General features: G+C 35.1%; 1 annotated feature.

Annotated features, from left to right (window-relative positions):
* Positions 2,655 to 2,855: a silencer, noted in NCBI's record as "peak5878 fragment used in MPRA reporter construct". NCBI's record gives its function as "represses an SCP1 promoter by STARR-seq MPRAs in K562 erythroleukemia cells {active_cell/tissue: K562}" and the evidence as "EXISTENCE:reporter gene assay evidence [ECO:0000049][PMID:32103011]".

Genomic DNA, 14,667 nt, shown 5'->3' on the forward strand with positions numbered 1-14,667 from the left:
TAGTGCTCTTATAAAAGAGATATCAGAGAGCTGCTTTGTTGCTTACACTATTTGAGAACAGTGCAAGGTGGTGCTGTCTATGAACCAGACAGCAGGCCCTCTCTCGACACCAAATTTGCAGGTTCCAGGTTCCTTGATCTTGGACTTCTCAGTCTCCAGAACTGTAAGAAATAAATTCGTGTTATTTATAAGCTGCCCAGTTTGTCATATTTTGTTATAGCAGTCAAAATGAACTGAGACAGGACAGTCCAGGCAGAGGGAATAGCACTATCCACTATCAAAAGCATGAAGCTTATCTTGCATATTAAGACAGATATGCTGATGCAGTAGGGGTCTAGATCTGTTTTGGCTTTTGTTACTTTTTTCTACAACTGCAAGCTGTTTCTCAGCCTAAGGAGATTTCTTTAGGCTGAGAGCTATCAAGAGTTGAAAATGAATTAAGCCCCATCCCCTGGAGTTCAATTAGGGTCCCCCAGGGTGTTCTTGGAAGAGTCTTGGAAAAGTCTTAACATTGATTCAATCTGAGGAACACCACTGAGCCTGGAGGATTACACTCTAGAGTTATCTGTCAATCAAGTTTCATCTTCCAGTAGCTGGTTGCAGAAGAAGAAAGTAATTGGATGCCCATAGGGGCTACTTTCTGAAACTCCATTGTTGATAAACATCTAATTCTTTGAAGATAATAAAGAGAAAAGACAGACTACAGGAAAAAGTAAAATTGTGTTCCTGAATAGCGTAATATACATTTCTATTCATATGTGTTCTATATGAGAATAGTTAATATTTACTTTTCCAATTTTAGTTTTCAGTTTTTATTTATTTTTTTTAAATTTTTATTCTTTCCCCATACCTCCTTAGTACCATGACACGTATATCTTACAGAATCATTACTACAGTTATTTATTCTCTTTTATAAGAAAAATAGATTTAGAAATTTTGCTCTTCAGAATGTATAATTCAATTGGTATTTTTCCTGTTTATGAAAGTCATTTTCTACTTTCGCTAAGCTTTCTTTTTTTCATAATTTTTGTTCTAAACAAAGCAAATGTAAAACTGCATGTCCCCTTTTCGGAATTCATTTTGATGTATAAAAGCTCACCTTGGCTGTATTTTGTACAAGAAATATAATAGTTCTTTAGCAAAATAGTAAAGGTTGAAATAGGTCAGTCTCATTTTATATATTGAAATCTTATAAAATATAACAGAATTAAAGTTGAGCAATTTATAACACTAGTTTATCTTTACCATTGAATAAAATATATTTTATTTTTTATACAGTGAACTAGTGTATTATTATTTTTGTTCTTCTATTTTTTCTTTTTCCTTTCTTTTTCCTTCATTTCTTTTACATTTTCATAAGCAATTTTAATTTTTATCATGGTTTTGTTTGATTATTTGGATGTAACATGGGGATTTAATATCATCTGGCTCTGTGCCTCCACCTAAATTGCATCTTGAATTGTCATCTGAATTGTAATTCTCATGTGTTGGGAAAGGGACTTTGTGGGAGGTGATTGGATTATGGAGGTGGCTCCCTCATGCTGTTCTCATGAAAGTGAGTGAGTTCTCATGAGAGCTAGTGATTTTATAAGGAGCTGTTCCCCCTTCACTCTACACTTTCCTCTCTTGCCATTTTGTAGAGAAAGATGTGATTGCTTCCCCTTCTGCCATGATCGGAAGTCTCCTGAGACATCCCCAGCCATGTGGAACTGTGAGTCCATTAAACCTCTTTCCTCTATAAATTACCCCATCTTGGGTATTTCTTCATAGCAGGGTGAGAACTGATGAATACAGTAAATTGGTACCGAGGTAGTGAGGATTTGCTGTAAACATACCCAAAAATGTGGAAGCAACTTTGGAACTGGGTAACAGGCACAGGTTGGAAAAGTCTGGGGTACTCAGAAGAAGAGAGGATTTGGGAAAGTTTGGAGCTTCCTAGAGACTTGTTGAATGGTTAAGATCAAAATGCTGATAATGATGTGGACAATAAAGTCCAGGTTGAAGTGGTCTCAGATGGAAATGAGGAACTTCTTGGGAACTGGAAAAAAGGTCACTCTTGCTATGCAAAGAGACTGGCAGCATTTTGCCCCTGCCCTAGAGATCTGTGGAACTTTGAGCTTGAGAGAAATGATTTTGGAGTATCTGGTAGAAGAAATTTCTAAGCAGCAAAGCATTCAAGAGGTCACCTGATTGATTCTGAAAGTGTTCAGTTATGTATGCTCACAATGAGGTTGTTTGAAATTGAAATTTATGTTTAAAGGGGAAGCAAAGCATAAAAGTTTGGAAAACGGGCAGCCTGACCATGTATTACAAAAAAAAGAAAAATTCTGCAGAGGATTTCATGCTAGCTGCAGAAATTTGCATGAGCAATGAAGAGCTGAACGTTAATAGCCAAGACAATGGGGATAATTACTCCTGGGCATGTCAGAGACCTTCAAAGCAGCTCTTCCCATCACAGGCCAAGAGGCCTAGGAAGAAAAACTGGTTTCATGGGCCAGGCTCAGGGCCCTGCTGCTCTATGCAGCCTTGGGACATGGTGCCCTGCTTTCAGCTCCAGGTCCAGCTCCAGATGCTCCAGCTCCATCCAAGGCTAAAAGGGGTCAAGGTATAGCTCAGGCCATTGCTTTAGAGGGGGCAAGCCTCAAGCCTTGGTGGCTTCCACATGGTGTTTGGCCTATGGGTGCACAGAAGTCAAGAACTGAGGTTTGAGAACCTCCACCTAAATTTCAGAGGATGTATGGAAACACCTGGGTATCCAGGCAGAAGTTTCCTGCAGTGGTGGAGCCCTCATGGAGAACCTCTGCTAGGGAAGTCCAGAAGGGAAATGTGTGGTTGGAGCCCCCACATAGAGTCCTCACTGGGGCACTGCCTAGCAGAGCTGTGAGAAGAGGGCCACTGTCCTCCAGACCCCAGAATGATAGATCCACCAACAACTTGCACTATGCAACTAAAAAAGCCACACACATTCAATGTTAGCCCATGTGAAAATAGATGGAAGGGGTGTATACCCTGCAAAGCCACAGAGGCAGAGCTGCCCAAGGCCGTGGGAGCTGCCCAAGGCCTCTTGCATCAGCGTACCCTGGATGTGAGACTTGGAGTTAAAGATTATTTTGGAGCTTTAAGATATAATGAATGCCCTATTGGATTTTGGATTTGCATGGGTCCTGTAGCCCCTTTCTTTTGGTCAATTTCTCCCATTTAGAATCAGAGCACTGATTCAATGCCTTTACCCTCATTGTATCTATTAAGTTCGTGCAAAGTAATGGCAAAAACAGCAATTACTTTTGCACCAACCTTACAGGAAGTAACTATAACTCTTATGATTTTACAGGCTCCTAGGTGGATGGGACTTGCTTTCTGTCAGATGAGCTTTGAAGTTGGACTTTTGAGTTAATGCTGGAATAAGTTAAGACTTTGGAGACTGTTGGGAAGGCATGATTGTGTTTTAAAATGTGAGAAAAATGAGATTTGGAAGGGGCAAAGGGTGGAATAATATGGTCTTAGCTCTGTGTCCCAACCCAAATCTCATCTTGACCTGCAATCCTATTTGTAATTCCCACATGTTGGGGAAGGGACCTTGCAGGAGGTGACTGGATCATGAGGGCAGCTCCCCCATGCTGTTCTCGTGATAGTGAGTGGATTGAGATCTTATGGTTTTATAAGGGGCTCTTCTCCCATCAATCTGCACTTCTTTCTTCTGCTGCATTGTGAAGGAGGATGTGTTTGCTTCGCCTTCTGCCATGATTGTAAGTTTCCTAAGGCCTCCCCAGCCATGTGGAACTGTGAGTCAATTAAACCTCTTTCCTTTATGAATTATCCAGTCTCAGGATTTTGTTATAGCAGTGTGAAAACAGACTAATACAGTATTGCCTAAGAGATTTCCTCTAGATATGTATTTTTTATCTTGGAGCCATTAGATGAAAAGTTTTTTTGAAAAGTAAAAATTACATTGAAATAAGACCAAATGACTACAAAATTAAAATATGATGTGATTAGAATAGTTTAACTTTCAAACCACATACGGTCTTTGCAAAATCAATTTTTTAATTCTGTTAATTTTGAAATCAAATGCATCTTTAGCCACTGGAAAAACACATTCTTCTAAACAGTATATGAGCATCTTTTTTCATAGAGTACACTTTCCTCTGAGGGCTGTTAAATCAAGCTTAGCCTAAAGCTGCCTCCTTACATATTTAAGTTTGGCCTAAAGGTTTTTCTGTACATCATGAATTATAATAAGGGGCAGTATAAACCAACCATAGCTCACACCTTTGCCAATCACTGAGTTTTGGCCAATCAAATGTAGCCAACTGTTCAAACTGTGTTCAAATACGGCAAATGCCAAGCTGTAACCAATCCAGTTGTTTCTGTTCTTCACCTTCATTTTCTGTATGTCACTTTCCTTTTGCTGTCAATAAATTTTTTTCCACCATGTGGCTGCACTGGAATTTCTCTGAATCTGATGTGATTCTGGGGGCTGCCCAATTAGTGAATCATTCACTACACAATTAAACTCCCTTAAATTTCATTCAGCTAAATTTTTGATTTTAACAGGGCCTAAGAAAGCAAATAATTTGAATCAAACTTACCTAGGACAAGAACAATTATTATTAGTTTAATTTTACATATTGTGTCAAGTAGAAATCATATTCAGTTGTTAAGAGACACCCAGAAACGGAAAATGTTTTCAACTGTAAAATGGGGATTGGTTATTTCTCATAAACAAAGAAACCCAAAGATAGACATTCAGGCTCTTTAAGCTTTGCCATCATTGTGGAACTTACTCTTCCCTTCACTGTGTCAAAAAGGCTGCCAGATATGTGGGAATCATTTTTTTTGTTTCAAACTAAATGAAGGAAGAAAGCAAAGATTTTAAAAGGTGTGTTTGAGATGAAATGGTTCCCTGAAAAAGCCATTCCAGAATTCCTATCTCAACACTTTTGCTTACATCTGATTGTTCAAAATAGTTTCACTTTGCCATTGCTAGCCACAAGGAAGGCTGTGAAATATATTCTTTTTAGCTATGCACATTGCCATTCTTAATGAAATCATGTTATATTAGTAAGCAAGAAAAGACGAATCTGTATTTGATAGACAATTAATCAGTGCTTTTTCAACCTATATTATGCTTGGCTCTAAACCGATAATACAGAATTGACTTATGAAATATGGGATGATTGTTGGTTTGAGTTACTACTCTAAAGAACGCCCAATAAGAACAAAATGAAACACTTATAGAACACCTTATGAGCCACACTGTAGGAACAAAATGATTCAGAACGTGCTTTTTTAGTCAAAAAGACCTGGGTTGTATTCCTGGCACTAATCTTTTAAACTGTGTAACCTTAATAAGTTACTTAACTTGTGGTCTCAATTTCTTTTTCTGCGATATATGAGAATTGTCTAGCTATCCCATGAGGTGGTTATAAGCATTATGTAAGTTAAACCATGACAAAATGCCAGCAGAGTGCCTAGCATAGAAATCTTAAATACAGCTTAGCTACTACATAGCAATATGATTATTGAAATCACAAATTAGAACTAATGTAAAAATATAGAAATGGCATGCTCCTTGAAAAGGTAAATCAGTGGCCCGGCCTGGTGGCTCTCTCTCCTGTAATCCCAGCACTTTGGGAAGTTGAGGTGGGTAGATCACTTGAGGTCAGGAGTTCGAGACCACTCTGACCAATATGATGAAACCCCATCTCTACTAAAAATACAAAAATTAGCTGGGCGTGGTGGCACATGCCTGTAGTCCCAGCTACTCTGGAGGCTGATACAGGAGAATTGTGTGAACCCGGGAGGCGGAAGTTGCAGTGAGCTGAGATCACATCACTGCAAGAGATCACACCACTGCAAGAGATCGCAACATTTGGGCAAGAGAATGAGACTCCATCTCAAAAAATAAATTAAAAAAAAAAAGAAAAGAAAAAGAAAAAGGTAAATCCCTGCTCAATACAGTTACAGAAATATTCACATATTGCTTGTCTTTGATGCTTCCAAAATCTTGTTTTTTTGAATATTTTATTAAAATGGCAACATGCATCTTACTTAGTAATAGAAAGTGGCAAGTGGCATGTGTGTGTTAAATATTTTAAAAATTGGCACTTTAGCCATTTTTAACATCAGTGATTATATTTGAAAATTAAGTGAAAGCTTCATTGTTATAATGCTCGTTGATCTACTTTAAATAAGGGAAAGGGAAACTTCGACTTCACAATTCCTTTCCATGCAATAGAAGCAAGCTGGAATATGTGCATGTGACACTATGGATTTTTAGCAATTGAATTGAAGATAAGTACTAAATAATGCCTACCCATACTCTTAGGAATTATGCAGGGTGAAAACAATGTGTTCATAAATATAGAAGTGGGAAGGATCTTTCAACCTATTCTTAGCAAATCTCTTCTTGATCTGGAAAAATTTTCTGTCACCATTTTTGAAAGGTTCCTATCTCAATATTTTCATGGTCTTAACAGTACCTAGGAAGATTGTATTCTAAGGGTGAAAGATGGACTCTAAAAATGTGTTTTATTCTTGTTTACTTTTTATATATTAAATTCGTCATTACTAAAAGATAGAACATTCTAGAATAAAAATTAGAGATCCTCATCTATCACTGACTTTGGACAAATAACTTAAAATTATCTATATCCTAAATTCCAGAGTGTGGGGATATCAGTGTATAACTTTCTAACTCAAAAAGTTGAGGTGATGATAAACAAAAAAATTAACATATTTGTAATTTAGATGACCTGTAGCATTCATTGTGACTTTCAATGTCAATAGTAAGATCCGGGTTATAATATAAATACCAGTTCAGCATACTGCCAAAATAAAAGGAAATTCAGAGGATATATCTGGGGTGGGGATGGGGGAATGAATGAATTTCCATTGGTCTTTTTTCTTTGCCTAAAAAAATACATAATCATTCCATGTGACTCAATACAAAAATAACCAAATGAGAAGCTTTGACTCCCATTATATGCATTTCAAATTCTAATTTTCACATCATATTAGCATTTTCTTCTATTTCTTTCAATTTGTGCACTTTCCCTGTGAAGAAAACTCATTCTAGAAGTTAAGAGCTTGAGCTTTTCTTTTTATAAATCAGAGTTGTATATAGTTATGCTATCATAAAAAAGGTATTAAACTGGTAAATGGGTTTTACTGGAACTTATACACTTCACTGAAGAATAACAAGACCAATATTTCAGGGCATTTATTTGAAAAAGTGCACTTGTAGAGACTTTCTGTTGAATGTGATAAATTTCAGATGCACAAACTTTACAGTGGAAGCTCTGATATTTCTGCCTATTTCTAATGTAAGCATTTTTATAAATGTCATAGTTATTTATCCTGTAAATGCTCTTTTTTTATTCCTTTACTGACAAAATAATTGCTATTCCAAAGTGGAGAGATTTTTACATTTACTTTAGAGTCTGCCATGTCCTGGATCCCTTATATCCAACAGTTGGATATGCTGTGTTTTAAAATTTTGCCTTAATCAATTTGTTGGAATTTCATTAATGCAGTTACTAATTCTCTTTCTCTTGAATAATGTCAGTGCTTTCCCTTTTCAGGCTATAGCTATATCCTTTCAACTCTTCTGTTTGTTCTAAATAGAATTGTAGCTCTCACCTCACAATTACCTTCTTCTTTCATTTTACAAGATATTTTAACTTTAAAAATCCTAATTATACGTTTCACAATTCTAAATGCTCATATTTTCTTGCTGGAGAGAAATGCTCTCCCTCTCTGTCAGACTGTTTGGTTCTAAAATTTCACCCTCTATTCAACCATCTCTGTGCTACGGAGCTCCACTCTTGTGGACCTTGGAAACAGCTACTACCCACAACAGGTCGGCTGCCTTCCCAAGAAAGCTCAGTTCCCGATAGTTCACTAAGAGATGCCTAGCCTTCTTTCCTAATCTGACTGTTCTTCAGGGTGGAAATTGCTTATATACTTAGACTTGAGTATCATTTTATATATTTTTGTCTTTTTCTTAAATAACTTTCAAAAGCAACAATATATTCTGAATGGGGTTAATGTATTCATTTTAAGTGGTTTGAATAGCTGGTTCAAAAATAATTTCAAATCAATTGAAATAAAAACATAACCTGATCAGTAAAATGCTGAAATCAAAAGATTTAATTAGTGCAGGTACACTTTATATTATGGGCAAAGGAGCCTTGAGAATCCTTGAGGACTGCTTCTTCTCATGGGAGAGATATAAACTTACAGACCCTTGATTAACCTTAAGCAGTTGGGAATTGATCATCATCAGAAAAGACTCATTAAATTAACATTTAAAATCTCAGCTACTTCAACTTTTCAAAGTAAACTACCTGTAATTGTTTCAAATAACTTACTACTTTTCCCAGAGACTCTTTAATAATGTATATTATTGTTCTACCTGTTGCTTAGAAGTCAGAACACGCTAGTTGCGTGCTAATGCATACACATTATGCAAAAACCACCCAAAGATAAAAAGTCTTAATGTATCAAAGAGAAGCATGTGTCAGAGCTAACCAAGGTCATCAAATATAAAACACAATAAATTTAAGAACTGCTTATCACCTGTCAAAATAACAAATCTCTAAAGTAAAAGCTTTAGAGAAATTGTAAAGAATGCTGAAAGATCCCAAGGAATCAATAAAAAGACTGTCAAAAAGCCAAAGCCTAGAATAGGACAAGGCTAAAAATCACCCCCTCTAAATGGAAGCAATCTTTTTAAAAAAAGGATATAAATATTTCAGCTAAATCCTTTTCCTATGGTTTTTTGGATGTTAAAGGAAGGTGATTTAAATTACACGTATCCCCAAAATTATTAAAAAATATATACTTTCCAGAAAAAAAATTCTACTACACTAGAATAGCCTTAAAGAAATTCCAAATCCTAGGAAGAATATAAAAGTTCATTTTAGAGAAAATTTTGAATTATTTAAAAGAGAGCCTAGAAGAGACAAGACATGAGACATCTTATATAATCTCACAGCTGGCTTTGAAGGTTGTCTTATAATAACATTAAATTCTTCCAATAATTTGCCTAACAAAAACTTTCAAAAGCCTACATGGACATAGACTATGCCTTTAGTCCATATTGAGAGTACTCTTTTTCCTCAAAAATTAAAATGAACTAATTATAGGACAACGTGCTAATATACCAAGTGCAATGAGGACAGATGTATCTTGCCTAAATGCCAGGCACCTCAAACCATCTGCTTGTTTAGTTTTTGTTTTTGTTTTGAAGGCAAATTTGTGTTTATTTGTTTTCCAAATAGTGTTAACAGATTATACATAGATCGCACCGAGGAGCACGATGCCATGGAAAGCCTTCATGACAGAAAAGGGTCCTTTCTTATTTCACATTTGTTCTACCCATGCCTAACATACACAGATAGCATAGTGTAATGCTTTGCTGCTTGACATCTGCTCTGCAGAGCAGCAGCAGCACCTGGGAGCTTATTAGAAATGCACAAGGGGAGCTTCTAGCATAGATCTGTTCATTAGTGTCTACATTTCAGTAAGATCTGGGGGTAATGCACTTGGGAAGTACTGATATCGTGATTAAGAGCAGGCACTGTGGAGCCAGACTGGCTGGGTTCAAGTGGTCTTTCCTCTTGAAAGGATAGGTGACGTTATGCAACTTACAAAACATTTCTGTGCCTTGTTTTTCTCATCTGAAAAATGGAGAAAATAACAAAGCCAGCCCCTTAGGATTAGTGTGAAGGCTGAAGGAGCGAATTCATGCAATGCTTTTACAGTGGGTCTGTAATATAATAAATGTTATAAAAATATTTGCTATTGGCCATCCAAGGTGGCTCACGCCTGTAATCCCAGCACTTTGGGAGGCTGAGGCGGGCAGATCACGAGGTCAGGAGTTCAAGACCAGCCCGGCCAAGATGGTGAAACCCTGTCTCTACTAAAAATGCAAAAATTAGCCGGGCGTGGTGGTGGGCGCTTGTAATACCAGCTACTCGGGAGGCCGAGGCAGAGAATTGCTTGAACCCAGTAGGCAGAGTTTGCAGTGAGCCGAGATTGCTCCACTGCATTCCAGCCTGGCCGACAGAGCGAGACTCCATCTCAAAAAAAAAAAAAAAAATTGCTATTACTGTTATTATCCCCATTTAGGTGTGAATAAATGGTCTTTTAGGGAGAATAAAAGAGGAAATGTAATGGTGAGGGGTTTTAGGTTGGAGAAGGGTAAAAATGAATGTGAAGAAGTTTATGCTCACTTCCTGCTTTGTGGATAAAGCTGTTCTGATTTGGAATACTGACACACAATCTTTTAATACCATTGATTCAAATGAGTAAGTAATTGTACGTAACATCCTTCCCCAATTGCCCAACATCTCAGTCATTCTTTATTATTAATTAAGATTGTGAAAACATATTTAGATAAAACTTTGCAGAAAAAAAGGAAACACCCATAATTGAACCACGATAACAATTATTCTATTTTTATTATTATATTTGCAGTTAGAAACAAGTTTTAAAGGCATTTTAAAGAAATGTACTGAGTAAATATTGAAAATACTAATTTACCAACTGAGAGTGATGCTCATTTAAGTCAGAATATATGTGTGTGTATATATACATATATATATATTCTGACTTAAATGAGCACATATATTATACATATATATATAAAATGTTACAGTTTTTCTTTTGAATGATTTAAAGCTCATGAAATACAGTTCATGTATCCACATTCCTTATGTGTTCACGGCATCTTTAACTGTAAATGAGATAGCAACTAATAAAAGCATCTTTAGTTGTAAATGAGATAGCAACTAATAAAAAGTTTTAATTTCATGTTAACATATTTAAATTATGTGATTTTCCTTGTGCTGTTTTATTATTTTGATATTATTCTATGAAATCTAACATACCTAATCCTTTGCCTAACAAATAGTCTCAAAAAAAAAAAAAACAAATGTTTCCAGAAGTATTATATATGAGTTAAATCTGAGTATTCAGAGTTAATTTTAGAAAAGGACTAGTAAAGGGTACAGACATTTTTTTTTTTCAGTCTACTTGAGTTCTACACTTACTGGCCTCAATGTTCTGGGACTGTATTAAAGAGCATTAATATAACAGAATAATGGGGTAACATGTTTGAATATAGATCCAGTGTTGTATAGTCTCGTTTTTTGTTGTTTGTTCAGGTTTGGTTTGGTTTGGTGTTCTCGTACCAACAACAAAAAAAATTCCTTTACGTCAAAGTCCTTTTCACTACAGGTTTCAATTTCACACTCAAATATTTGTATCTTATTTCACTTGAAGATTCATTTGCAATTTTACCCAAAGTTTTATGGATCACTATCATAAAGATAATACTTTTACTTTTCATAAATAATGAATAAAGAATAAAAGGCCATTCCCCTATGAATTTTTAAAAATTCAATTTGTTCAGAGAAAAAGCAAGTGGGGTTATAGTCAACCAAACCTGTTTGAAAAATAACTCAACTCTTTTGACAAACGAAAGATGGTTGGGTTAAGAAAATGTTAAATTAATTTGAATTCTATAATACAATAAATTTAAATATTGTTTGTACCTATGAATGCAAAAATTCCAAAAATACAGAGAAAAAAGACTATGATAAAAGCATGCTTGAACAATATTACCTATTCCATTTAAATAGGATATTTACACCAAATGTGCATTAAAACAATAAAGCAGTAAGTGCAAGAAGTGTGAAGATAAAAATTCAACAGTTTAAAAAATGGTTAAAATATGAATGGTGTTTTTTCTGGAATAAACAGGAGAAACATTTACTATAATTTCTGAAAGTGCCAAGAAATATGACTAGAAATATAAATGCCCTTGTATATCAGGTGATGTGAGTCAAGCCTTCAGAGAAAATCACCAAGGGACTTTGACTATGGGAGAATAGTGAAGGGTTTTATATTTTTGTGGGTTCACACAGAGATCACTTTTATTTTCTCCTTTCATTTGACACAAATATATATGAGACCTGAGAACTACTCAAAAAATAGAGTAGGGTATGCAAAAGTGTTTGCAGTAATTATTTCACTACATATATGCATTAAAACATCATGTACTTCTCAAATATGTACAATAAAAACACATTTAAAAATATAGTGGACAATGTCAACCCGAAGTTTTTTTACTGATGGCAGCTTATTATAAGATGACTATGTTTACATGTTAGTTAGTAGGAACAATTGACTATATTAGTTAAAACATGTTTTTTCATGTTGCCTATACATGTAACAGCTAAAGCAAGGGCATATTTAGGATTAAAAAAACTGAACTTTGAAGGCAAAGAATTTGTTAAAACTGAAAATTAGTATTTGGAGATTTTAATGACCACTACATATATTTATATCACATACTGTCTTCCTCCCCTAAATTAAGGAAATTATACATGTTACCTAAAAAAGTACAAATAAAAACTTAGTCAACAAAAAAAGTTTTGAGTAAAATTTTAATGGCCTCAAATTCTCACTAATGGATGCATTGAACTGCATAGTTTGGCTTAAAAATCTATTTTCTATACAGCTTGAAACCTTAGGAAGTTTGAGATATTCATAAATAAATGTATAATAAGATTAAAAACTTAATAACATGTATAAATGCATAATCACTTTGTACTGATTTCAAATTATAAGGGATTATATATTTTAAAATTATGGCTCATTTGTTTTAAAATTATACGTATGACTAATTATTGACATTGATAATATAACCTTTTAAAAATTATTGTACATATTTGTATGATGACATCCTGAATTCTACTTATGTCTTGATTCTATATACAGGAACTCAGGAATTAATACATAAATGGAGTAGAACATAGAATGGGTGTTTAAGGTTATCAATCTTTTTTTACCATTTGAGTCATCCTAAAACCTGAACTTAATTGATTAGATCTAGTGAGATGATATCATTTGATTTTCTATCATAATATGTAACTGTAGTTTAATGAAAGTAATAAAACATTAAACATTAAGCAAAATTATTAAACTGCATTAACAACCAGGAACCAACAGTATATTAAAGTAAAGGCCTTAAGGTGGTAAAGAAGCATACAAACAAGTATCTGGGAGTAGAATACCTCAGGTAAGGGAAACAGCATGCCTCAAAAGTCCTGAGGAAGGAGTTTGCTTCATCTTTTACAAGCTTGTTGCTAGAGAGAACAGAACAACAAAGAGAGTGGGAAAGGAGGAGGCTAGGGACATGACAAAGGACCAGGTCACTCTGAAGACTTTGGCTTCTACCCTGAGTGGCATAAGTGGCCACATGTTGTACTTAGACTTACATATTAATGGGTGAACAATCTATAACGGCATATGAGAGAGAGCAGAAGGACCAGTCCAGAGGGGATTGCAATAATTTAAGACATGGCCACAGGTATCTGCTGAGTGGCAATGATGGAAATGGTAAAACATGCTCAGATTCTAGATATAGGTCAAAGGTAGTGGCAGGAAATCCCACGAATGAATTGGATGTGTTGAGTTTTTATGTTTATCAAATCATAACTTTAAGGCTACAAGTCTACTCATTTTAGGTCCATCTTTCTTGATATAAATTTTCGTACACAACTATCTTCTACAGCTCTCCTGCTAAGATGGTATAATTGTTATGATTCAATAAGTGAGATGAATAGCCTCAGTTCCACGTGACAGTTGCCTCCCCAACAAGAAATGTGATGGTAATCCACAGCAGGGTTATAATAAGCAGAATAAAATTAGGCAAAATAAATTGAAAACTGGTACATATGGAATATAACTTTAAAACTAATTATTGTTATTAACACAACTAATTTTCTATACTTTCTCTTTTTCCAGCCATACTAGTTAATTTCACAGTGCATTCTATTTTAGCTTTCCACTAGGGTCTCTCCATATTCCTTTTGGGAAAGATATAAAGATATTTATTTCTTGAAATTCCTTACTTAATGAGTTTTCTTTTTTTTATGGGTCATACCTGTTTTACCTATCAGACAAATTCTATTTTAAAATACCTCTTCCATAATTTTCTTTCATAAAATAGACCATAGAGCAGCATTTATTTATTTAACTTCTTGAAAATATCACTTTGCTACTTAGTTTGTTATTGTTTGATATCTAAGAAATTTTGTATCATGTTATAGGTTGCACTTTAAGTGATATTTGCTAATAAGTTCTAATCAGAATAAAGTCTCTTCCATATTAATGTAATGATTTCATAACCTTAAGTGCCTAAATTTTTATTTGCTTTTGCCACATAAAATCAAAGGCAGCACAAAATTTAACAGATATTAATATCTGTGAAAGAAATATATCTGTCTAGTTTACTGAATACTGCACTGGGCTGATTCAAGCCACTTTGCCCTAGAGAACATTTCAGAAGCTTCTAAAGCACTCAGAGAAACTCAACAACATCTTGTGTCCTAGTTGTCACAGGAGATACCCAGAAGCCCTTCATCTTCCTTACAGTAATTGTGCCCATCAGATCCCTCAGCTGTGTGTTCATTTGTCTGCTTTGTGGGCTCCTAATGAAATTTCCTGTATTTCCTTTGTCTTGTATAGATCTATCATAACAGTTATTCCATCAGTGTTTGTTAAATGGGCAGAGGGACAAAGAAGGATGTAGGCAGGAGGGCATCTTAAACTGCACACAAGAGAGAATCAATCCCCTAGTGACAATTTTCCAAC

Source organism: Homo sapiens, chromosome 6, assembly GCF_000001405.40.
Source record: "Homo sapiens chromosome 6, GRCh38.p14 Primary Assembly".
Taxonomy (NCBI): Eukaryota; Metazoa; Chordata; class Mammalia; order Primates; family Hominidae; genus Homo; species Homo sapiens.